This window comes from Homo sapiens, chromosome 10, assembly GCF_000001405.40.
Source record: "Homo sapiens chromosome 10, GRCh38.p14 Primary Assembly".
NCBI lineage: Eukaryota > Metazoa > Chordata > Mammalia > Primates > Hominidae > Homo > Homo sapiens.
Window position 1 is genome coordinate 90,996,675 of NC_000010.11, and position 27,295 is coordinate 91,023,969.

Consider the following 27,295-nt stretch of genomic DNA (forward strand, 5'->3'; position numbering starts at 1 on the left):
GGGTAGATCCTGTTACATGAAACATTGCACATGCCCATGGTGGAATACTGTGCAGCCATGAAGAAATAAGGACACTCGGTATGTGCTGGTCTGGATGGAGTTCCAACGTATCATTTAAAGAAAACAGCAAAGCAAAGAAGAGTATGTAAAATGGGATCCCTTTTGTATACTTTTTTTTAAAAAAAAGAACAGATGGATAAATGGATATGGAGTTGCTGGTATAAACACTTTTGGGTACAGAGATTTAGTGGTTAACAGTTAAGAATGGTTGACAGTTATGAGAAGAGAAGTTAAGGCATGGAAGCTCGCTCTTAGTCACTCTCTTTTTTCTTTGCACTTTTAAAAAATATTTGAGGCCAGGAGTGATGGCTCTCACCTGTAATCCTAGCACTTTGGGAGGCTGAGGCAGGTGGATCACTTGAGATCAGGAGTTCAAGACCAGCCTGGACAACATGGCAATACCCCATCTCCACTAAAAATACAAAAATTAGCCAGGCATGGTAGCAGGTGCCTGTAATCCCAGCTACTCGGGAGGCCGAGGCAGGAGAATCATTTGAACCCAGGAGGTGGAGGTTGCAGTGGGCCGAGATCATGCCACTGCACTCCAGCCTGGGTGACAGAGTGAGACCTTGTCTCAAAAAAAAAATTTTTTTTGAATGGTGTAACTCAGCATGTATAATACTATATACATATATATGTATATGTATGTTGTATATGTATGCATGTGTATATATATTTCAGATATCATATATACTATATATATGTATATATCAGCAGGAGTTTTCACAACAGGGACACTGAACATCATTTTTTTCTGCTTTATTTTCTTACTTCTACTTTTCTATTTAAAAAACTTGTAAAGAAAAAAGAAGTAAAAGACTAAAGTCCTCATAATATACCTGTATTCATTGGCTAGGACTGCTGTAACAAAGTACTACAAACCGGGGGTCTTAAACAACAAAACCGTATAGTCTCACAGTTCTGGAAGCTAAAAGTCTGAACTCGAAGTGTCAGCAGGGCTGGTTTCTTCTGAGTGCTGTGAAGGGGAATTTGTTCCAGGCCTCCTTCCTTGGCATGGGGATGACCATCTTCTCCCCGTGTCCCTTCCCATCATCTTCCCTCTGTGTGCATCTGTCTCTGTATCCAAATTTCTCCTGTTTAGAAGGACACCAATCACATTGAATTAGGGCCTGTCCTGATGACCTCATTTTAACTTGATTACATCCGTACAGACTCCATCTCCAGATAAGGCTGCATTCTGGGGCACTGGGAGTTAGAACACTAACATATCTTTTATGGAAGGAAACAATTTAACCCACAAGTATACCTAATATGACAAAATTCATAGAAATAGAGAAAATAAATACCTTATTTTTCTGGAGAAGGTAGCATTGGACTTCATTCTTGAAGGATAAATTGGCCTTTATCCTTGACTAGAGAGAAGTAGTTAATTTCAATAGCCCTTTCCCTTCTTTCCCTGGAGCAACATGAGGAAATGTGTGGTTGGAAATGAAGATTACATATGACCAGTACACTCAAGAAAACTGTCTGCTTGAAAATCAATGTTTCATTAAGTTCAGTGAACATAACATGAGACAGAACTGATGGGGCCAGATTAAGGGAGTAGATCTAAGTGGAATACAAGAAAGAACGTCAAAATACCCAGAGCTGTCCTGGCATGGAAATCGGCCATCCCATAAGTAAGTGATGCCTGGGGAAACGGAGCCTGTTTCACTGGAAAGGCAATTGGATTAGATCAATTCTTGTCTTCTCGTCAAGTCCGGCCTGGCCCAAGGTTACAGGGAGAAGCCTTGGGTAGGGGACAGGTGTAAGAGCGTTATGAACCAGTAACTCTCCCACTTGGGGAGAAACAAAACCCCAAGTACAGGAAGAGTAGTTCTTTTCTAAAATCTGAACTAATGACAATGGAGGGGACAAAGGATTAGGGGGAGAAGATGCTTACTTTAATGAGGAGGCTTTGATTTTTCAGAACAAAGCTTTGTAGCCATGTTTTTGGGGAGCCACAAAATCCAGGTCCAATACATGGGGTCAAGAGTATGAGAATTTTGGCCCAAGATGGATAAACCTGGGCCTCAACAGCTGCCACCCACTCTGGAAATTGGTATGTTCAGAGAATGTAAGCACTTGAGACTATTTCTAGTTCCAGCTGCTCCATGGTATTAATAAAGGTCTAATTGCTAAAACCACGTGGAGTGGACATGGTGTTCATTTTCCTGACACATGCAAAATGTGGTTTGGAGGCTGAGCTGTCAGGCCCAAATCGCCCCCAGATATTGCCTGTTGCAAGCACATTTTATCACCACGCAAGGCTTGCTAAGCTTGGTGGATGGCCTCATTTGGGCTATTTGTATCCTAACACTGGGGCCAATGTGACAGGTTAGCGTTCCTATCAGAGCAACATGGCACAAAACTTCCTTCTAGCCCCATTCCCCAGGTAATGTGGTGTGGAGAAAGTCCATCAGACTGTTACGCCGAAAGACAAAGGAGCGGTTTGTCCAGCATATAGAACAGGTTTATAAAGCGTCTCCCCGTTCTCACCAGATAATTGAACATAGAGGATGCCAGAGACTGTGTAGACAGTTAGGCTTCCTTTGCAAATGGGGGTGGACAGGGATATAGCTACCTGTCTGTGCCGGGAGAGAAACGAGCTGTCCCCTACTCAATGCTGGTAGGGGACAGTTCCATCTTCTTGTCCCACCCTCCCCACAAAGAGTGGTTGCTGTCTCTCCTCCAAGTCTAAATGTATTTTACTACCTTATTGCCTTATGGTACAACAATACACATTCACAAAAGCTAGTCATAAGTTGCCCCATGCTAAAAATACTAAATTCTATAAATTTATATTTTAATACATATCTCCATTTTTTAAAAATATGGAATGCCTCACGAATTTGCATGTCATTTTTTTAATGGGGAATCTCCCTCTCTAAATTTACTCATTTCTATTTTCTGGCACACAAGGGGAGTTCCCAGCTAGGGCTTAGTTCCCTATTGGGTTTTCCATGCAGGGTTTAGATTTAAAGCATTAAATGACCCTTATGAGGGATTCCATAGAAATACGCATTGCTGACTTATGGGCCTGCATCCATGGACACATCAATCCCTGAGTTTTAAGAAGCCCTGGATATTGATTGACAAGCTGTATAACATGGTAATTATGAGCCAGAACTTTGTAGTAAGACTACCCGGGTTAAAATACTAATTCCCCCATTTATGCCTCATGTGACCTTGGGGAAGTCTCTTAAGCTATCTATGCCTTGACTTTCTTAAATGTAAATCAGGAAATAGTGCTTCTGCATAGAGTAGTTGTGAAAATTAAGTTATCATGTATAAAACGCTTTGCCGTAAATGCCAGTCATATTATTATTGCCTCCACAAAAAGCATGTGGTTAGACCAAGTAAAAGTGAGGCCCTAGTAGCATCCTCTTGAACATGAGGATTGAGCTCAACATCCTCTGCTACTGGAGACCCAGTAAACAAATGCTGAAGTTGCACAGGTGATTCTCAACAGAGTTACACTGTTTCCAGTGTAACTGGTGTGTAGTGGTCATGAAATGGTTAAACAGAAAAATCAAATATGGTTTCTATTACTGGAGGAGTGGATGTTCCACGATGCTGATTAGGAAGTCCAACCTGAAAGAGGCTCTCTGAAGGGTCCTGGCCCATCGTAGCCAGAGACAGCTCAAAGAGAGACAGATATCCATGATTTATAGTGAGCTCAGCAAAGACGGATGAAGAGAGACCATCCTTTGACCAAGTGGCCAGCAGGAATTTTGCGGAACATTTTGTTTTGTTTTGGAGCTCAGCAGTGCCTGAGTCTGTGCAGTAGTCAGTAGGGACAGCTACAGCAGCTAGGGATAAAGAAGGTCCTTTAAGCCTGAGCGTAGTGGAACTGCTAGCAAGACAACTGGTGTGGTTCACAGGCCAAGTCCAGCAATTGATGTCAGAATGATGAAAGAGGATTCATACGTGGCCACATTCAGATGTAATCTGTTCAGAGCTATCTGCTCGGAAGACACTGTCATGCGCACTGTGGAGTGCTGAGAAGAGCCTCCCTGATCCTCCATCAGGGGTGTGAGCAGGACTTACTCCCCAGCTGCTGGTGCTTAGCCCTCAGGTGTGAATCCCTTCTGAAATTGCTTTAGTTGAGCTGCCTCACTCAGGGTCACATCGTTTCCAATGACTGACCGACCAACTTAGGGATACCAAGGTCTAGCCCTTTTGTCCCAACTCAGAATAGCCCTGAAGTTATCTCATCTTCAGAACTCCCCACAATAGCAGCTAAGACCCCTGAGATGACCCTGAGGCTTGACCTCTCCCTCTGCCCAATCCTGCTTCCTTTCCCTCCCTTCCATAGCTATATCTCCGACAGCACTCTCTAGTAGATGAGTTGTGTGCTAATCTCCAGGTCAGAATCTCCTTCCCTGGGGCACTGTGACTCTCAACTCATTGGCCATGGGCTGCTCTGCATTTCTTACTGGGTAGGTTGGGGCCATGTGACAGGGCTCTGGCCAATGGGAAGGGAACTTGCCTGTGGGATCATCCTGGGCTCTCCTCTTGTCATGGTGCCCTTGAGGGCAATATGTGTAAAGTGGTCCCATCAGCAGGGAGGAGAAAATAAGCCTTCACTCTGTTAAATCTCTGAGCTTTGGGTTTTGTTTTTGGTTTTATTTTCTTAACAAAGCCTAACTTATTCTGTCTTTTCTAATGCATCAGTCATGTTCATTTAAATACTTTTCTAATTCCAGAGTGAGAAGCAATGAAAAGTTAGTATCTGAACATACTCTGAAATATTAGTTATTTTTCATATATATCTTCTTAGGTTTAACTGTTGGGGAAAAATAACAGTTCATCCCACATCACAGATTTGGTTATTTTCAATAATAATATCTCTAATGAATTCTTTTCTTGGGTTTGTAAGTTTTAGTTATTATGAGGATAACATTTCTAATGAATTTTTTCTTGTGTATTTATAAAGTCTCAGGTTAAATGAATCATTTGTGTATTTTAACACGTGAATCTGAACAGAGTAGATCCAATTGAGAATTTCAGTCAGCATTCTGATGCCCTGAATAGAAAAGAGCCAATAAATATAAATGTAAATATGTACACACACACACACACACACACACACACTGATGGACTCTTAACTAACGCTAGTAAGTGTCTATTATATATACCGTGTTCCTGAAGTTCTGCTACAAGGTAAGGACTTCCTAGGTTTAGGGAGCTAATTGATCCATGAAAGAGGCAGACCATTTCCAAGCCTGCCATTGGGATGCAGTGTCGTGAGACACGCCAGGGTGCACAGGCAGCTGAAGGGAGGTGGTACTAAGCTTTGCCTGGGGAGGGCCAGAGAAGCCTCCACAGAAATGACTCTTAAGCTGCAAATTAGAGGGAACAGTCGGGGTTCACCAGGTTCATGAAGGAGGGAAAGGCATTCCAGGCAGAGATGTGCATAATAGCATAATGCATTCAGGACATGACAGGGCTGGCAAGGTGATGTTTGCCAGGTGCTATTGTTTGAATGTCCCCTTCAAAACTCATGTTGAAATTTAATTGCCATTGTGATGGTATCACAATGGGACCTTTAAAAGGTGATGAGGTCATGAAGGCTCTGCCCTCATGAATAGACTAATGCCATTATCAAGAGAGTCGCTTAGTTAATGAGAGAGTGTGTTCGTGATAAAAGGATGAGTTTGGCCCAATTTCCTGTGTCATCTTGTGTGTACACTTCCTAGCCATGGGGTGCTTTCCACCATGTTATGATGGAACAAGAAAACCCTCACCAGATGTGGCTATTCAATCTTGGATTCCCAGCCTCCAGAAGTCTGGGCCAAACAAATCTCTTTTCTTTATAAATTACCCCAGTCTGTAGCATTCTGTTGTAGCAGTAGAAGAGGGAGTCACACAGGAGGGTGGTGGTAGGAGACGAGCTTGGAGAGAAGGCACAAGCTGAGTTCTGGGTGGTAGGTCTGTATGCAGTGTCATGGGACTTGGACATTTCCACTTTATTTCGTTTACTTATTGCCATTTTTATTCTGGCCTTTTAAATTGTTGCTCTTCTCTTATCCAATGCAGACACAGTTTATTTCTGAGACATATAGTTTGCGAAATCAGAAACTTTAGGCATCATCAAAATAAATTTCCCACATTGCATACCAGTAAAAATAAGATTGCAGTGACTCTGAGCTGCCAGCTGCCACATGGCAGGCACTTAGTCCTTGGCCCCTAAGGCAATTCTAAAGATCCCTATAAGATGCTTTCTTATGTGTATTATTAAGACGACCAACTCATCCCAGCTTGTCCAGGACTTTCCTGGTTTTACCACTGAATGTTCTGGGGTCCAAGAACCTCTCAGTCCAAAGCAAACCAGGTTGCTCATCCTAAGTGTGTTTGGAAACATGTCTGACCTGCTCACGTGTTTTTGCTCAGGGCCCCTCCTCAAGCTGCCAAGCCACTGCCTCAGCCAAACACCCCAGGGAGCTCTGATAACCTCCAGCAACTCTCCCTGGCCAATCTCTGTTAGGCAACAGATGCCACCCTTCTAGCTTTGGGGAAGGAGACATAGCCCTCCTACACTGAGTTCCAGACATGCTTACCTACCCCCTACATCAACTTTCCAGAGCTCCACTGTATTAGTCTGTTCTCACATTGCTAATAAAGACATACCCAAGACTGGGTAATGTATAAAGAAAAAGAGATTTAATGGACTCACAGTTTCACATGGCTGGGGAGGCCTCACAATCATGGCAGAAGGTGATGGAGGAGCAAAGGCACATCTTATATGATGGCAGTCAAAAGTGTGTGTGCAGGGGAATTGCCCTTTATAAAACCATCAGATCTCATAAGACTTATTCACTACCATGAGAACAGCACAGGAAAATCCGCCCCCATGATTCAATTACTTCCCACCAGGTTCCTCCTACAACATGTGGGGATTATAGGAGCTACAATTCAAGATGAGATTTTGGTGGGGAGACAGCCAAACCATATCATTCCACCCCTGGCTCCTCCAAAATCTCATGTGCTCACATTTCAAAACCAACCATGCCTTCCCAATAGTCTTCCAAAGTCTTAACTCATGTCACCATTAACTCAAAAGTCCACAGTCCAAAGTCTCATCTAAGAAAAGGCAAATCCCTTCTGCCTACGAGCCTGTAAAATCAAAAGCAAGTTAGTTACTTCCTAGATACAATGGGGTACAGGCATTGGGTAAATACCCCCATTCCAAATGGGAGAAATTGACAAAAACAAAGGGGCTATAGGCCCCATGCAAGTCCAAAATCCAGTGGGGCAGCCAAATCTTAAATCTCGGAAATTATCTCCTTTGACTTCATGTCTCACATCCAGGTCACGCTGATGAAAGAGGTGGGCTCCCATGATCTTGGGCAGCTCTGTTCCTGTGGCTTTGCAGGGTACAGCCCCGCTCCTGGCTGCTTTTATGAGCTAGCATTGAGTGTCTATAGCTTTTCCAGGCTCACAGTGTAAGCTGTCAGTGGATCCGCCATTCTAGGGTCTGGAGGACAGTGGTCCTCTTCTCATAGCTCCACTAGGCAGTGCCCCAGTGGGGACTCTGGGTGGGGGCTCCAACCCCACATTTCCCTTCTGCACTGCCCTAGCAGAGGTTCTCCATCAGGGCTCTGCCCCTGTAGCACACCTCTGCCTGGACATCCAGGTGTTTCTATACATCCTCTGAAATCTAGGCAGAGGTTCCCAAACCTCAACTCTTGTCATTTGCACACCCACAGGACAAGCTCCACATGAAAGCTGCCAAGGCTTGGGGCTTGCACCCTTTGAAGCCATGGCCCGAGCTGTACCTTGGCCTCTTTCAGCCATGGCTGGAGCAGCTAGGACACAGAGCACCAAGACCCTTGACTGCACACAGCAGAAGGGCCCTGGGCCCAGCCCACAAAACCATTTTTTCTGATTAGGCCTCCAGGCCTGTGATGGGAGGGGCTGCCATGAAGTTCTCTGACATGCCCTGGATACATTTTCCCCTGTCTTAGCGAATAGCATTTGGCTCCTTGTTACTTCTGCAAATTTCTGTAGCTAGCTTGAATTTCTCCCTAGAAAATGGTTTTTTCTTTTCTACTGCATCATCAGGCTGCAAAATTTTCGAACTTTTATGCCCTGCCACCTCTTGAATGCTTTGTTGCTTAGAAATTTCTTCCACCAGATACCCCACGTTATCTCTCTGAAGTTCAAAGTTCCACAGATCTCTAGGGCAGGGGCAAAATGCCACCAGTCTCTTTGCATAGCAAGAACGACCTTTACTCCAGTTCCCAACAAGCTCCTCATCTCCATCTGAGACCACCTCAGCCCAGACTTTATTGTCCCTATCACTGTCAGCATTTTGGTCAAAGCCATTCAACAAGTCCCTAGGAAGTTCCAAACTTTCCCACATCTTCCTATCTTCTGAGCCCTCCAAGTCTCTAGGAAATTCCAAACATTCCCACATTTTTCTACCTTCTTCTGAGCCCCAACTGTTCCAACCTCTGCCCATTACCCAGTTCCAAAGTTGCTTCCACATTTTTGGGTATCTTTACAGCAGCTCCCCACTTTCTGCAGCACCAATTTATTGTATTAGTCTGTTCTCACACTGCTAATAAAATACCCAAGACTGGGTAATTTATAAAGAAAAGGAGGTTTAATGGACTCACAGTCCCACATGGCTGGGGAGGCCTCACAATCATGGCAGAAGTTGAATGAGGAGCAAAGTCACGTCTGACATGGCAGCAGGCAAGAGAGCATGTGCAGGGGAACTCCCCTTTGTAAAACCATCAGATCTTATGAGACTTATTCACTATCATGAGAACAGCACGAGAAAACTCACCCCCATGATTCAATTACCTCCCACCTAGTTCCTCTCACAACATGTGGGGATTATGGGAGCTATAATTCAAGATAGAGATTTGCATGGGGACACAGCCGAACCATATCACCACCAGACAATTAACAAAACTTCTTCAAAGGCTTATGGATAATGGAAGGAAAGCTCAGCCTCAAAGGTAATTTCAACTTTTGGCAAAGCAGCTACCTGAAACACACCTACCAGAGCCATTCTCAGTAGCAGGTCCAGCTCCACATGAGAGTCCAGCACATGTCTGCCACCAGAAAGTTTGGGCCCAGCTGTCAAATGGCTTTGAGAGAGAAAAGACTTCTCTGTCCCTCTAGTTTCAGGCTGGCTTCCCAGAGAGGTAGAAACTACTACTGCTGCCTGGCATTCATTCCCCCGCTTTCTTAGTAAAAAGCACCCTGATTTACTTAGGAGGGTAAAGTGCCCAGATAACAGGCTTCATTTCTCAATTCCTCAGCCAGCTGTGGAAGTGTTTGGGGGAATGTCAGAAAAGCTATTTAAAGGGAGAATCAGTGAGGAGGTCTCACTCCAATACACATACACTCACACATGCTATTAATTTTTCCTCTTTCATCTTTCTTCCTTCTAGGCTTCAATGTGGATATGATGGCTGGAGCTCCAGCAGCCATCCTGTGACCCTGAGAACAAGCCATTCATTGAGGCTAATGAAGCAGGAAGAAGGAATCCTGAGTCCTTGGGAAACAAGGATCTACCTGAATAGCTCCGAATGCCTACTTCTAGATGTCCTTTTAGAAAGAGAAGCACACCCTTGTGTATTTCAGCCACTGCTATTTAAGGTTTAACCTAATCATGATATAATTGGTTTTTCTTGGAATGATTCAGTGGTAATTTTTTCTTCCATAAGAAGCAATCCCAACCCCTACCACTAGGGGGTGGCCTTGCCCTGTAGGCCTCAACATGACAATTACATCACTGCATATCAGAGTCCAACATCAGTGCATTCTGTGTAATTCAGTCTCAAATAACAACGTGCATGTGACAGCAGTGGTCCAGTCTGAGCTAAGCTGTGCCAAACTCCATCCAGTTCCTTTAGCATGAGATTTGGATCTCATGCTTTTCTTCTCTTTTCTATATCCAATTCTTCAGCTTGGACCCAAAAAAGCAAGCCCCAGGACCAAAAAAGTATGCAGAGAAGCAGCTCTGACTCTAGCAAACACACAGTTTGTATTTCCAAACAGAACAATGAGCTTCTAGTCTGAACAACATCCCATTTGATGGTAACTTGATACTTTCCTCTTTTTGTTTTTCCAGCAAGAAGCAATGGGTAGGTACTTGCTTTACATTTGTGAAAAGATACCTGGCTGGTGGGTCTGATAAAGAGAGACTCTACCCTGGCAGGATTATTGATATCTCTACCTCCTACAAGATGGAAAATCACTTGCAGCATTTAAGTGACTGTTTTTCCAGTTTATGCTGATCAAAGTTTCAAAAATCTCTAGGCAGAGTTTTAGTCACTAATAATCTGAAGTGAAGGGAATAATTTATCTAATTATTGCTCAGGCTAAAAGCAAGCTGCTGTCTCAAAATGAAAGTACAGTGCTAGTTCTATAAATACCCACTCACAACTAACCAACAAAGGAGTTTGTGGTGTGAGAAGTGGAACTTTTGATAGTTTCAGATTGCATTGCTTTGGTGTCATCTGTGCTCTCCTTGTCTACCTCCATTTACATCGTGATGCTGTATAGTTAAGACTTGGGCAGAGGGAGGAAAGGGGTTCATGGGGAGCTAGTAATCCTGCATTTTTCCTCAATTTTCTTACTAGACTGCCATATTAGATAAGAACAAAAAATGTGCCTATTGAATAGTCTAACCAAAGAACTTAAGAAAGAATCACTTTTTTTCCTCCATTTCGGTAAAGACCGTGCCGAAAGTTTTCATATGTAATAAAACCAGTGATCACCAGTTAATCTCAACCTAAGAGAAAGAACCAAAATGAACCACTCACAAGAATAGAAACAGGCATCCCTTGGGAGTAGGGTTTAACAAATGAAAATACAGGACACTCTGTAATTTGATTTTTCTGCAATATTTGGGACGCGCTTATATGAAAAAATTATTTGATATTTATTCAAAATTCAAATTTAATGGTATGTCCAGGATTTTATCTGGCAACCCTACTTGGGGGTAAAGAATCTGTTCCTTCCTTGTGGGGGATGGGAAGAACAGTACAAAATGAGCAGATTCTGAAATATATCAAGGAAACTGTCACTGGAAAAGTCACTGATTAAAAACAAAACACCCACAAACCACTAGGCCCTGTGCACAGGTTCCTCCAAGAAGCTAAGTCTTCTTGTTTTTTATCTTTTGTATCTTCACAGAGTCTAGATGCCCTCCTGCTCTGGGTATATTGAGAGCTCAGTGAGGAGTGCTGACCAACTGGATAGTCAATGACCACTGAGGAGGAGGTGGCTATGCAAGCCCCAGATCTCTGGGATCATGTGTTCTGTACTTTCAGATGTGCATCTGCAAAGGCCTGGAGTGCCAAGTGTCCTCTCCTTAGAGAGGCAAGGCAACAGCAAGGCAATCAGTTGTTACCCCAATGTCCAGCCTCCCCTATTGTCTTTCAGAGGGCATTTTGTCCAAACTATGGGGTAAGAAAAGGGTTTGGTTTTACACTTTTAGCCAGAGTTTACCCTCCGGGAATACTCCTTCTACCACATCTGCCAGGGATCTATTTTCCAAAGGTACTGGTTGGTCACTCAGAATCCACTGGGTGCAGACACGCAAAGATGTGCAACTTCTCCTCTGTATCAAATAAGGATACAGGTGGGCAGTGCTCCATTTTTCTGCCTTTTCACTCTCCACACTAGGCTTTGTAGACATGGACACATGAAAGCACAGAACAGTAAGTCAATGTCAGAGGGAATTATAGGTAAGGACCCCCACCTTCATTCCAATTCTCTTCTGACATTGACCATGCCATTCCGTAAGGCTAGAGGTCTCACTTACTTTTAACTTTCTTGAGTTTTCACAGTATGGGTACCTGAAAACTTAGACTCCTCTCCTCAGTGAGTTCCTCTCCCTGGTTCTCTCCCACTCCTGACTTGGTTTACTTTGAGCCCCCTCCCCAATCACCTTAAGTATTGTCTAAATTTTTGTCCACCTCCCCACCCTTTTTTTTTCTTTTCTTTTTCTTTCTTTCTTTTTCTTTTCTTTTTTTTTTTTTTTTCAAGACAGGCTCTCACTCTGTTGCCCAGGCTGGAGTGGAGTGACACAATTATAGCTCACTGCAGCCTTGCTCTCCCAGGCTAAAGCAATGCTCCTGCCTCAGCCTCCCACATAGCTGGGACTACAGGTACTTGCCACCATGCTGAGCTAATTTTTTAATTTTTTCGTAGAGCCAAGGTCTCGCTATGCTGCCCAGGCTGAATTCGAACTCCTCATTCTCCTACCTTGGCCTCCCAAAGTGCTGGGATTACAGGCGAAAGCCACAGCACCTGGACTCCCCATTCTTACCTACATGGAGAAGTCTTATTCTTTGGATTCATCCTTCTTCCCCATGCAAGGCCTCAAGTTTGCTTTCAGTCTGAAATAGCGCTGCTGGGTGATCAGAAATGCCCATTGCCACCCAAATCTTTTTGTTTTGTTTTGTTTTTTAATACCATCACCATGGATAGATGTGGCTCCTTTGGGCCACAATTCCATTTAATTTCAAGCTGCAGGCATAGCAGCCCTTTTAGTCACGGACCTGCTAAATTAGGCACATGGACTGTCTCAGGGAGAGTGTGGTCTGAATTCACATTGAGAGACACCTGTTTTCTCCCTGGCAAGACAACTAAGCCCTCTGGTTCCACCTGGGGCAACCCATTAACAAATGCTCCCTAGAAAGACCAGGAAGAACTCATTTAACTCAAACTGGTTTAATTTAGGTTCAGAGTGTCTGCTTCTGTGGGAAAGGGAAAGGGAGTGAGGACTGATTGGCAGTTCTTCCCACACACAGCTCAACAGCAAATGTTCATGGAGTCCTTAATTCTCTTAAGAGTAGCCTCAGAGATGTTGACTCTCTCTAAATTATGATGTTGCTTTTACAGCTGGGTTATTATAAGATTAGTGTAAGTTTGGTCACTTACACTTCATCTTACTATTCCTTCCTCACCTTATTTTTTATGAGAGCTCATAGGATCCCATTCTCCCACCTTCTGTTTCTCTTTTTTCCTTCTATGGCTCCTCATCTCTAACCCCTGTGTTCCCCACATACCACCAGCTCCTCCCATGGATCTGGTTTTCTTGGACTTCCTGATCTTGGCACAGACTTTCCCTTCAGGCTAGAACAGCCTTCTCTCACCTTCCTGCATCTGACCTACTCACCCTTCCAGACTGAGTAAATGTTACTTCCCTATTTAGACCATGCAGACCCGGGTGGCAGGGCTTCTCACACTTCAGTATGCATGAGAATCACCTGGAGAGCTTTTTCAACTATAAATTCCCTCTTCCCATCTCTGTCCCCTTCACCAAATTGTGATTTAGTAGGTCTGGGATGGGGCCCAAGAATTTGCATTTAAACAGCCTCCAAGGTATTCTCAATAGTGCTGGTCTGCAGGCCACACTTTGGGTACCACTGCCCCAGACTGAATTAAATCTCCCAGCTCTATGATCCCGGAGCTCCCTGTATTACTCCATCAAAACATATTATTGTTAATATTCCTATAATGTCTTTCCTCCCTGATAGGCTGAAAACACAGTGAAAGCAGGCCGTGTCCATTTTATTTGCTGCTGAATCCTCATCAATTAACACAAGGCCTGTCACACAGGATGTGCTTAATAAATCCAGGATTTATAAAAAAGGAAGTAGAAGAAAGGGGAATCTTTCCATGCTGAGAATCTTCAACATGTGAGCACGTTGCTTGGAAGTCAGTTCCCAAAAAGGAATCCAGAATGTATTGATGGTGGCCTTTGGAAGAAGGGTCTAGACAACCCCAGTGGTAATTTGCAATGTCATTATTTGCATTATATCTGTTATCTTTCTGGGGTGGGGTTGGGGGAATCTATGAGGCAATATTTTCAGTTATATCTAATAAAATAGCTTTGCAAATATCTACTCAACCAGGATGATGAATATATCCGAGTAATTAGCCAGGAGAATTCACCCCCTTTCCATTCCAGGCACTCCTTGCAGGGAATTCATGGCTGTGGAATAATACATGGGCAGAGCGGAGGCTCTGGAGTTAGACCCAGAAGGCCAGCTATACCATTTCCCAGCTCTGGGGCTCTGGCCAAGGTAACTTAACTGTCCAAAGCCTCAGTTTCCACTCATTTGTGAATGAGGATAAAATGGTACCCATGGACAGGCAGTAGGGTGTAATAGTTTAGAGCACAGACTGCCTATGTTTGAATCCTGGCTCCTCCACTTACCAGCTGCGCGACCTTGGGAAAGTTATTTAACCGCCATATGCCTCAATTTCTTCTTCTGTAGTCATTTCTTCAAAAATGATTGTATTAAATTGAACTACTTTAAACTGCTATTTTGTAGGTCAAAAACAGTCGAATGTCAGTGATTTCAAATGATTCAAACTAACACCTACCTTACAGGCTTATAAAGAGAAGCAAGTGCATGAGTCAAGTTTAAGTCAACAGGCTTAAAATGATGACTGTTACATATTAAGCACCGTAAAAGAGTCAGCTCTTATTGCATAGCTGAGTTTGTTGGGGAATAAAATGAATATGATAATGTGATAAACACTTGGCAGAGGAGGATTGTAAACATTCAATAAAATGCTACTTGTTCTTTTTTGTACTTATGTAACCCCTTCTTAAGAATATCTGACTTTAAAATTACTAATGTTTTCAAATGGTTGTTTTTGCACTGCCCTCAAGTCCTCCAGCCCCTGAGCACATATAAACTTATTACCATGAATTTCAGAAGGAGAGTGGGTGAAGCTATGAAGAGAAGGGACAGCTCAGGACAATGGACCTCGGAGAGATAGAAGCCCAGGACAAGGGTACTCTACAGTTAGCCTCTTGCCTCCCCAAATATTAGGTTGAAACATATGAAACTCATTTATATAGGCCAAAATGGAAAAATATTCACAATTTCATATGACTAAACGTACTAGATTCCCCTAGCCAGCCTGGATTTCTTTCATATTCTTGACAGTCTATCAGTTAATACCATGTCTTTTTTTTCCTTTACATTTTAACATTTTTGGCATTGGGATGTATCCTACAATCATGTGTGTCTTTAATATGGTTGAATTTCTTTCCCTTTCTCCTTCTGAGCAACTAGGTTCTGGTAATCTCACTTTTTGTCTAGTGTCCTCAGGGTGGTAGCTGCTTTACCTCAGCCCTGGGGGAAATAACTTCTTCCAACAAGTATTAATAACCAGTTGCTTCAACTTCCTGTTTTGCTCTTCCAGCCTTCCAACATCTGTGAAAAAATTCCCTGTATTAAATCCCCTCTGTTTGAAATACCTAGCAGGATTTCTATTTCTTGACTATGCTGACTATTGCATATATTAATTTTAAAAGAATCTCTTCAAATGGCAAATGAGAGAGTTAAGCATTCACATAGTTGCGTAAATTGTATATATCAGATTTCTTTCACTTTATCATGATGTTTTACTCATCAGACATTTATTGAACATCTAGTTTATGCCATAGCCTATGCACCCATCATTGGTAAAAAGGTGAAAAAGACAATTTTTGTCCCAGAGGAGCTTAGAGTGGGGGTAGAGCTGGGACTACAGCAGAGACAGAGATCACAGCATGATAAGTGCCATGGGAGGACATGAAGAGCACTTAGCCTAGTCCAGTCCAAGGCAAAAGAACTCAGAGAGGCCTCCTTCAATCTGTCTGTCCTGCATGTACAGCCATGGAGGAGAAGGAAAAGGCAGGAAAGACCTTCTAGGCAGAGCAAGGAGCAAATGCTAAGGCTCAGACTTAGAGAGTAGGGTTTGCTTCAGGGCATTGAAATGTTTCAGTATAGTTGGAGAAAAGTTGGAGGATGACAACAACTGAAGCTGGAATGGTAGGTAAAGGAACAGATCATGAAGGATGATGTACACCATGATGAGGAACTATGTAAGACTATGTCTTTACATCGGGGTCAGTGGAAAACAATTGAAATTAGTGGCTTGATCAGGTTTACAGTTAGGAAGATACTGCTCACTGAAAAAAGAGGACAACGTACTTTCTAGAAGCTACCAAATGACTAACTGCCTAGTCATAGGGGTTAAGGCAGCAGTTCCCAACCTTTCTGTCACCAGAGACCAGTTTCATGAAAGACAATTTTCACGGGTGGGGGATGGTTTCGGGATGATTCAAGCACATTACATTTATTGTGCACTTTGTTTCTATTATTATTACATTATAATATATAATGAAATAATTATACAACTCACCATAACGTAGAATCAGTGGGAGCCCTGAGCTTGTTTTCCTGCAACTCAGCGGTCCCATCTGGGGGTGATGGAAGACAGTGACAGGTCATCAGGCATTAGATTCTCACAAGGTAGTGTGCAACCTAAATCCCTCTCATACACAGTTGACAATAGGGTTTGTGCTCCTATAAGAATCTAATGCTACCTCTGATCTGACAGGAGGTGAAGCTCAGGTGGTGCGAGCAATGAGGAGTGGCTGTAAATACAGATGAAGCTCACCTGCCACTCACCTCCTGCTGTGTGGCCCAGTTCCTAACAGGTCACGGACCAGTACTGGTCTGTGGCCTGGGGGTTGGGGACCCCTGAGTTAAGGTGTTAATGGCTTCTTCTTTCAGTCACTAAGCATTTAGTGAACACTCACTATATATCAGACACTGTGACTGATCCTTGTAAGATAAATAAGCTTCATGCCCTCCAAGAGCTTACAGTCTAATGAGGGAGAAAAACATCTTAAATAATTATGAGAAGTATTACAGAAATACAGATGAGGGAGGAACCAAGTAGGAGAAGATGGAAGATTCCACAGAGGACATGACATTGCCTTGGATTTTGAAGGAAAAATAAGGACATGCTAGATAAAAGAGCAGAAATACAGCATTTCAATTAAAGGGAGCACCATTTGCAGCAGCATGTGGACATCATGTTCTTGGTGGTCTCAGAGAATAGAGAAGAGTCTGATGTAGTTGGGCCACCAGGTTTACAAATGGGTCGAAAATAAGGTCCTAGGGCCCGATTCTAAAAGACTTTGTGAGTCTTGTTGGTATGAGGCATCTCCTCTAGGTAACAGGGAATCATCAAAGGTTGTTAAGAGAAATGGGGGTTGATAAGATAAGATTCATGTTCAAGCTTTAAAAAATTATGTCACAAATAGAACTGAAGAATAGAGACTGGCAACATGGAGATTCATTATGAGGCTGAGGTCATAGTTCGGGTGGAAGCTGACCAGAACTTGAACTAAGAGAGAGGCAATTGGGACGAAGAGGAGCAAACCAATCCTGGGTCGATATACTCCATCCTAGAAAACATTTTCATGTTAAAGCATTCATTAGTGCCCAAAAGGAGCTTCAAAACTAAGTTTCATTCATCTTTCTCAAAACTTTGTTAGAGTCTGTTTAACTGTGTTAAAATTCATGCCCTAGTGGAGCAGACTTTTCTCATCCCAAATTATTTTGGAAAGTATAGGCTGAATTGCTAAGGAAAATGCTGAAAGGGAAGTGTGAGGACATGGGACAAAGTGCAAGTAAACACTCTGGGATGCAGGAAACGAGCTTTTCAAAGAAGAAAGGGCAGGAGCCTGGGGTAGAGAAGTGGAAAAGACCTGAGTCTGAAAGAGATGTGACACCTGGGAGGATTTTTCTTTCTTCTTGTAATTGAAGGGGAGAGACAGAGGAAAATTCTGGAAGCAAAGGCTTAGAGGTTCCCAAAGGCAAAGATCTCCAGGAGCCAGCAGCAGGTGACAAATAAATAAAGCAGACTTGCTTTAAGAACATGGAGGTGATCTCAGCAATTTGGGAGGCCAAGGCGGGAGGATCATTTGAGCCCAGGAGTTTGAGACTAGCCTGGGCAATATGGTGAAACTCTGTCTCTACCAAAAAATACAAAAACTAGCCAGGTGTGATGGCACATGTCTGTGGTCCCAGCTATTTGGGAGGCTGAAGTGGGAGGATCAACAGAGCCTGGGAGGTCAAGGTGGCAGTGAGCTGTGTTCATGCCACTGCACTCCAGCCTGGGTGACAGAGTGAGAGCCTGTCTCAAAAAACAAACAAACAAACAAACCCATAAAACAGACTGGGCACCATGGCTCAGGCCTGTTCCCAGCATTTTGGGAAGCCGAGCAGGCAGATCACCTGAGGTCAGGAGTTTGAGACCAGCCTGGACAACATGGTGAAAACCCATCTCTACTAAAAATACAAAAATTAGTCAGGCATGGTGGCAGGCGCCTGTAATCCCAGCTACTCAGGAGGCTGAGGCAGAAGAATCGCTTGAACCCAGGAGGTGGAGGTTCCAGTGAGCCAAGATCACACTATTGTATTCTGGCCTGGGTGACAGAGTGAGACTCTGTGTCAAAAAAACAAAAACAAAAACAAAAACCACAAAACAAAACATGGAGGCCAGGTGGCAGAGGCTCATGCTTGTAATCCTAATGCTTTGGGAGGCTGAGGTGGGAGGATCGCTTGAGCTCAGGAGTTTGAGATCAGCTGGATAATACAGTGAGACCTCGTCTCTATTTTTATTTCTAAAAAACTTAAAAAAATGTATGGAAGTGCATGGTTTATGAACGGGGCAGATTCCCACAAGCTCCAGCCAACTGTTGTCATGTGGAAATGCAATGTTCCTGATCTTGTGATTTTTCAAGAGAAGTCAGAAATCTAGATATTCCTGTAAAATCATCCACTGTTCTTTAATGTGGGCAACAAATTCGTTTTTTTTCTAAACAGCAGGCTGGCCAAATAAAACATATGTGGCTGCATTTGGCCCTTGGGTGGCCAATTTGTAACCTCTGGTCTAGAAGGAATGGTAGGTTATTTGAATAAATCCTACCAGCCATGGTGGGTATGCAGCCTACTTGTGCTAGAATGTAAACAAGTCATGGGAGGATACCATTTCCCAGAAAAGCAATTCCCATTAAATCCACTGGCTAAGTTTGGAAAGATAATACAGAACGTACTGATATGTAAGTTTAGTTTTGCTTTGTTGGGAAAATTTTTATGAAGCCGAGCTAGAAGGAAGCAAACTGATCTTCCCTGAAGTCATTTCTATTGTATATCTTTAAGAAGTCAGGGTTGAGGAGAGAGTCACTTTGGAAAAGATCATAGCCTAATGTCTTTTTCAGGAACTAGCACTGGAAATTAAAGTCAATTATTTCAACCTGTATCACAGACTGTATATAAAGAGTTCCCATGAATCAACAATGAGACAACATCCAAAGGAACATGAACAAAGAATATGCATAATTCTCAGAAGAGGAAATATTATAGGTTTCTACCTATAAAAATGCTTGACTTCACTTAGCATGTGAGAAATCCAATTTATAAACAATGTTTTTCACCTATAATATAGGAAAAGTTAACAAGAACTTCATATATATAATACACTGTGTAGGCAAAGGTGTTGGGAACTTGGCACTGTCATACATTGGTGGTGAAATTTTAAGTTGGCACGACTGCTAAGGAGTGCAAATTGGCAGGATCCATTAAAATAAAAAATACATATATGCCTTGACCTAGACATTTCTAAATCTAAGAATTCATTACCTACCCTTATTCACACTTGTGAAAGGACATATATATACACACATGTGTATATAAGAATATTCATTATAGCATCATTTATAATAGCAGATGATTTGAAATAATCTAAATGTCCATTAATATGGAAATAAAATAAATGATAATAGACCCAAACAATGGCATCCACTGAAGCAATAAAAAAAGAAGCAGCTCCATACCTACTGAAAAGAACGCCTCTCCTATATATATATATTAAGAGCAAGGTTAAGAAGTGTAAATTGTATAACGCCATTTGGTATTGCATAAACATATACTTAGATATGCACAGTGTATCTCTAGAAGGCTTAAAAGCATCTTTTAGAAAGGGATGCCTCTGGGGAGGGCTGAGTGGTGGGAGACAGACTTGGGAAGGAAAGGTTTTGCTCTATACTCTTCCATATATATATATACACAATAATACATAGATAATACATTATGTATTGTATAATGTGGTAATATGCATAATATAATGTATATAATTTATTTTTATATCTATATTTACATTAATCCATGAATTTTTTTTCTTTTGAGATGAAGTCTTGCTCTGTCACCCAGGCTGTAGTGGAGTGGCGTGATCTTGGCTCACTGCAACCTCTGCCTCCCGGGTTCAAGTGATTCTCCTGCTTCAGCCTCCTGAGTAGCTGCAATTACAGGCACTTGCCACCACGCCCAGCTAATTTTTGTATTTTTAGCAGAGACGGGGTTTCACCAAGTTGGCCATGCTGATCTCAAACCTCTGACCTCAGGTGATCCACCTGCCGCAGCTTCCCAACCCATTAAAATTTTTAAGAAAAAAAGTTATACTAACATTTTAAAAAATCACTAACTTATTGTCAAGCCTCTCTAAAATCTCCTTTCATTTTTGAATTCCAAGGTCAAAGTTTAGGTTCAAATTTTTACTCTTACTTTTGAATTCTGAGGTCAACCTTTTGAGTTACTAGTAAGTCTACCAAAATTTTAGCTGTTGAACTAATTGCAGTTATTTTTCTTTTGCTATCTCAGATTCGGATTCAAACCGCCATTACTTTTTCTATCCAACATGCTGGTAAAAGCACATCCAAACCCACAAATGTGAAAAACAATGAGACCTAGAAATATAATTCATCTGTAGAAAAGTTCTGAGTCAGTTCCTTTTCAGGGAGTCCAGACGGTTCCTGAGCTTCTCTCTGAATGATTTCTCTGAGTCAAATAAAATGACAAGGCAGGCATTTAAATGACAAGAAGCCAACCCTGGGTCTGGTGTGCTGGGAGTGGAAAATTCTGTGAAGTTTTTATGTTCCCACTGTGTACAAGCACAGATTATCTTTCTCAAGCAGACACAGAAGCATATAGAAGACCCAGAAATTCCATTAGTTTCACAGTCTAGTGCCAATAAATTTAATAAGAAATGGAAGCAAGGTTATTTATTTGTTTTACAGCATTCTAAAGACTGCACAGAAAGAAACTCTTAGAAGAGTTTAGCTCAGTAATTGACTAAAACATTCGTGATTATTCACCAAATCCCCAAATATTCCCTGAGCACCTTCTAAGTACTAAGTCACTGGGCTAGCCACCATGGTAGGATTAAAATGATGGGTAAGGAGTTTCTAATTTAATTCCATGCTTTCCAAAGACTCCTCTGAGGAGCACTAAAATCTGAGGAATATTAATATTATTATAAGACAAAAAGATTTTCTTGGTAATTAAGAATCAGAAAATAATCAAGCTGTTTTAATTGGCACAGCACTTTTCAGATCTTTTACTATGCTCACACACAATGTGAACCTTCTAGAGAGGGGTATGGTATGCAGTCTTTCCTAAAGCATACCCCAAATAATTCTAAAATTATTCAAACACAATTAACTTTTTTGTTTTGGGCAGCTGCAGGAACTAATATCTATGTAACATACATTAGGAAAATAATAACCTTAAATGCCGAGACAAACATAAATACATATGTGAAAACAAAACTGTCCTAAAGCAAACTGGGGTTAACTGCCCAAATACTTGACCTGGATGTAAGAAACAGCTTGAGTTTAAAAGATAGCAGTGGTCTAGAGTTATAGAAGCTGGGTGGAGCAGGAGGAGCTGGGTCTAAGCCTGAAAAAAAGGAAAGTGTCCGTCAAGGAGGAGAAGCAGCTGAAAAGTGATGGAGCTATTTGGAGGATGAAGGAGACCAGCCAGCCAGAGCAGAGGGTTCATCATATAGGAAGGACAAGGAGTTAAGTCTAGATAGGACCAGATTGAAACAGGTCATGACTGTCAGGTTAGGAAGTCTGAACCTTACCTTGCAGGCAAGAGGGAGGCTTTAAAAGCCTCTAAGCAAGATACTGAAATGTTCAAAGTGGTCTTCTAAGAAAATCACTCTGGTGCTCATTTGAAGAAAGGCATTGGAGTATGAGGGTGAGTGGAGCGGGAAGAGAAGATGGAAGCCTGGTGCTGACTGTGAGATGAAGGTCTAGAATAGGGTTAGTGCACAGACTAAGAAGAGCATTTTAATGAAGAATTGACAGAAAGGGAAGACTGGATGTCAGAACTGTATAAATGGGTCATGGGGTTTGGCTTCTGGGTGATAAAGTACCATTTTTATGGGGAGTATAGTTTTTGAGATGTCATATTGCATCTTACTCCTTCCCCATCTCCAACCCCCCACTAATTCCACAAAAGCAGGGAGGCCTTTCCTATTTCTTTGTCTGAAGAGCTGTCAGCTCTACCTGTCTTTTTTAAAAGATGAAGCTCACCAAGGGATGGTGGTGGATATCCCAGAATGATGACCAATAATAGCTGAGAAAGGAGTTTTTTCAATGTCAGGGGAAGAGAAGGCAGCAGAGGTGGATTTGAAGAGACTAGGAAGAGAGTCCCATGAGAAGCGTGCACCCGTCTCAGCTCCCAGCTGCCTTCCAGGAAGGTGGCTAAATTCAGAGAGGAGGGCTGTAAGGTGCACCTGGAGAAAACTAAAGATAGGTCCTCCCAGGAGGAGGAGTTGAAGATTCCCATGTCTCACATTTAGAAGTGTGTATGGATAAGGAGCAATGGAAATGCTAACTGCTATGTGAATATAATCCACTTTGGAGAGCCATTTAGCTCTAGCTAGTAAAACTGAAGATTCCCAGAAAACATCTAGGTATATACTCACATATAGGCCCAAGGAAAAAGGTGTAAGGATGCAGAAGGGCAAAGTTGTTTGTAAGACTGGAAAATTGGAAACAGCTTAAAAATCCAAGGGTAGGATGTTTAAATACATTGTGTATATTCACAAAATGGACTGCTAAATGAATGAACTAGAGAAACATGGATACATTTCAAAAAACAGTGTTGAATATAAAGAAGAAGTTTTGGGAGGAAGTTACCATTTACGTTAAGATTTCCAATATATAAACCATATGCAAGTATACTATGTATTATCTATGGGCATACAAACAAAGCATCTCAAACCCGCATGAGGTCCACAATCATTAAAGTCAGGATAATGCTTGCATTTGGAGTAAGGGAGGTAAAAAGGAAATTGGATTAGGAAGGATCATAGAAGTTTCAGGTATATCTAATGATTTAAATCTAAAGGAACCGTAGAAAAATGTTAAGATCTGTCAAAACTTAGTAGTGGGTACACGGATGTTTGTTATAGTATCCTTTGTTTATCTGCACTTTTGAAATATTTTACAAAAGTATTTTTAAATTATTTTAACAGCTCTATTTAGGTATAAATGAAGAAACTATCATGTTAATAAAGATAGTGAACATATCTATCACCCCAAAAATTTTCCTCATGCCCCTTTTGAGGAGATCTGGCATTTGGTATTTGTTCATGCCTGTAATCCCAGGTCTTTAGGAGGCCAAGGAGGGCAGATCACTTGAGGTCAGGAGTTCAAGATCAGCCTGGCCTACATGGTGAAACCCCGTCTCTACTAAAAATATAAAAATTAGCCAGGCATGGTGGCATGCGCCTGTAGTCCCAGCTACTCAGGAAGCTGAGACAGGAGAATCACTTGAGCCCAGGAGGTGGAAGTTGCAGTGAGCCGAGATCGCACCACTGCACACCAGCCTGGGTGACAGAGTGAGACTCCATCTCAAAAAAAAAAAAAAAAAAAAAGATGGGGCCTTGCCCTTATGATAAATGAATTGAACTTCCTGCCAGCTTGGGAGAAAGGGATTGCAGAGTCAGATTTATATTAATTTAAAGAAAAATAAGTAATGTGATGTTTCTTGACCTTTTGAGTTTATGATTAAAATTCATACTTGCTACAAACAGCTAGGGAAATTGGGTGGAAGAAAGAGTTTAAAGGTAACAGTGGAGACATGGAGTGGGCAATTAAACATGAAGGCTAGAGCTGCAAGGAGAGGTCAGCACTGGAGGTTGAGGCTTTGGTGGACATTTGCCTGGTGCAAATAGTTAAGACCATGTGAATAGATGAGATCTCCAAAAGAATGAGGGTAGGCAAAGAACAGCCCTGGATGTAGGTCCCTGCCTTGGCATGTGCAATTGGGATGGGTACAGAAAAAGGAGATAGTAAAGAAGATCTAACTGTGGTGAGGCAGGTGGTGAATTAGTATATACTAATGGTCAGGAAGCCAAGGGAAGAAAGAGTAAGGCAAATAGCATCACATACCTTAGAGAAGAAAAGCAAATTGAGGCTGAGGAGCCATTAGATCCAGTGACTGAGAGATTGCTGATGTCCTAAAATGTGCAATTTCAGTAAAATTGTGAAAACAGAATTCCACTTTAGACACTTAAAAAGAGAGTGGAAATGAAGACACCTCCGAATAAATATAGATCATTCCAAGAGTTTTGCTGTGTAAAGCTGAGAAATGCAGGAATGGTGTGAGCAGGACCATTAGGAAAAAGTGGAAGGATTTACTGACAGAAAATCCTAGGATGTATGTTTAATAATGACCACCTTCTCCATCCTCAAGTATTACTATTGTAAAATAATTGCCATAATTCCAAAGCTTTAGTTTTAGAGAGTTAATTCACTCAATTCATCCACCTAGAATAAAAAGAAATAACATTTGCATTTAAAACACAACTGTCATAAGCAATGGATGTTGCTTTCAAACCCTTAATACAAGTGGAAAAATTTTGAAAACCTTGCTACTCAGAGTGTGGTCCATGGACCAGCAGCGTGAGCATCACCCAGGAGCTTGCTAGAATGAGAAAAGCAGAATCTCAGATCCTATCCCACATCCACTAAACCAGAATGTGCCTTCCCAGGTGATTTGTCTGCATGTTCAAGTTTGAGAAGGAGAGCTGTTGAAAACATTCAGAAATTATGACATGACTGATACTTTGAGAAGTTCTCTAAGGATCAGACAGCAGAGGAGCAAAACTAGTCTGTCTGGAAGAAATCATCAGTTGATTAGTGAAACATCAATCAGGGATTAATCAAGGATTTGAAAGAGAACAGGAACCTGGCAGCTAGGGAAACAGTGTAAGAGGCTGAATCTAAGAAGCAAGCATAATCTTACAAAAGCAAGATAGACCAGACTTCAACTTTCAGAAGCATAGTCTTTACTGGAAATTCTTTATCCCACTTGCTGATTGCAGGAAACAGTCACTTCCAGCAAGGTAAGGGGTGGTAGGAATGTGGTTGGCAGGAAGTCCCTTTGGGGACTTTGCAGGCAGGAACCTCCCTCTGTGACAGAGGGACATTGCTGTTATCTCAGGCTAGGCTGGCCTCCATACTAGCAGGCCTGGGCTACCTGTGCTTACACCTCTTCCTTCTTCACTCAGCCTCAGCATCACTGTGCCATATGGTCAGGCCTCCAAAATCTGCCTTAGCTGTATTCCTCCGTCGTCTTTCTTTTAAAGGTTGAATTTCATCAGGATTTATTTGAAACTCTTGTTTAAAAGCCTGATTCTTGCCCTCCCAACTCCAAGTCCTCAAGGGACCTGATAGTGAAGGTCCAGGATGGGATCTAGAAAATACATTTGTAATAAGCACCATATGTGATTTTGCTGCAGATGTTTCCAGACTAGATTTGCAGAAGCAGCCTTCCTTCAGTCGCACTCCTTTGCTGCTCAGAGTCTTACCAATTGAGAGGTGAGGATATGGAGACTCTCAGATACATGCTGGATCCTTTGTAATATCTACTCCCTCTCTAACTTCTCCTTTGCAGCGTCAGTTTTCCAGACTATGTTCTTCTTCCCTACTCCTTCATCACTTTTTCCCTCTGCCCTCACTGCCTTCCAGTGACCTTCAGACAGGTACAGGCTACCCATCCACAAATATTCAGCCCTCACCAACTCTCACCCACTCTAAATTCCTCTAACATGGTCTCTTTCTTGCTATCTCCAATTCCACTTGTGGAATTCTCCTCTGGATTCCAGCCAGCTTGTACTCTTCTCTTCTACAGTTTCTCCAGGTCTCCAATTACTTCTTTGAGGGCATATTAAAAAGCCTCTTTATGCTTCTCCTCCTTGACCGCACAGCTGCATCTGCCACTGCCAATCACCCTCTTCTCTGAGCACCCTAGCACTGCTGGGATGGGCATGTTCAAGGCTGCATCACACTTTGCCTTTCGACAGAATCAATGAGCCTGGCTCCTGTACTGTAGATAGATCTCAGGATTCAGCAGGTGTTCCTTCTCACTGCCTCAGGTGCTTCCTTTAATCCTCTGGAAATTGTAATACTGCTGGGGAAGCCTAAAAGCTAAACTATCTTCACAATCGACTGTATTAGGACTGTTTGAAGATCTGATCTTACAGTCAGGACTGGCTACATGGTTTGCAAGGGCCAGTGCAAAAAGAAAATGTGGACCCTTTGTTTAAAAGGTCTTAAGAAATTTCCAGATGATGGTAGCAGAACTTAAACCAGGGGGAGGGCTTTTTATTTTTAAGTGCAGAGCCTGTGTGACTTCGTAGATCACATGCTCAGGAAGCTGGCTCTGCTGATGGTTGACCCAGCCTGTTAGCTTGGTGACCCTCAGGACCAGATAAGTTAGTGAGAACATGGTTAAAATTCAGATAAACTCATAGCTCACATTCCCAATATACCAGCTAGTTTTCCCAGTGCAACACCCTCCAGGGTCACAGTCTTCACTTCTCACTTCTGTAGGTTCCAACATGGGCCTCGTCATCACCAGAAGGACAGGGGAGCATGAGAATGACACAGCACAGCTACTCACCAAAAGGATGGGGAAGAAACAGCCCAACAGGGCAGGTCAGAAGCATCATCATCGTTGTTTTCATAATTGGAGTACCGAATAGTATAAAACTCAATCCTAAATGCTGTGCTCTAGCTCTTCCCCATTTCCAGCCCCTAAACCCCACAAGACCAGACTGGAGACAGAAACTGGAATCCAAGCAGCAACAAGCCTCCCTGCTTTCTTTGGGGCAGAGCCAAAAAGAGATAAAGAACGTGTTGTATTAGGCAGCAGTAAACAGGCAAGGGACAAGCAGGCCTTTAATAAAACAGACCTTTATTGGGGCTAAAATGGCCCAGGGCTGACCCTACCCTAAATCCTGGCAGTGTCCAACGACAGGAATTCAGAGGAACAAAAACGCTGGCATTGCCTGCTGCATCCCATGCATACATAACAGAAAGCACTGCAGAACCTCACAAGCAAGGAATACATAAATGCCATTATCCAGTCTTTCAGCCAAAACTTATTTTTTAGTCTGGACGACTATGCTATTCTGCTTTCTCTGCCTCCAATTTCTGTCCTGTGACTCACAGGGAGGGCTTTGGGGAAATGAAATATCCCAAGACCTAAAATAGGTCCTTCTCCCTCCCTCTAATATCAGGATGAGTTTCCTAAGGCATTTGTTTCTT

General features: G+C 42.4%; 1 long non-coding RNA gene across 2 annotated transcripts; it reads right to left on the reverse strand.

Moving 5' to 3' along the window:
• Window positions 1-804: 804 nt before the first annotated feature.
• Window positions 805-26,804, reverse strand: LOC124902479 (uncharacterized). Of its 2 annotated transcripts, none has more exons than XR_007062238.1 (2): window positions 26,649-26,804; window positions 805-1,154 (listed from the first exon to the last, which is right to left on the reverse strand). It is a non-coding gene; the product is annotated as an uncharacterized LOC124902479 (long non-coding RNA). The 2 variants fall into 2 exon arrangements; XR_007062239.1 differs by lacking the exon at window positions 26,649-26,804 and adding an exon at window positions 16,240-16,297.
• Between the last annotated feature and the right edge of the window lie 491 nt (window positions 26,805-27,295).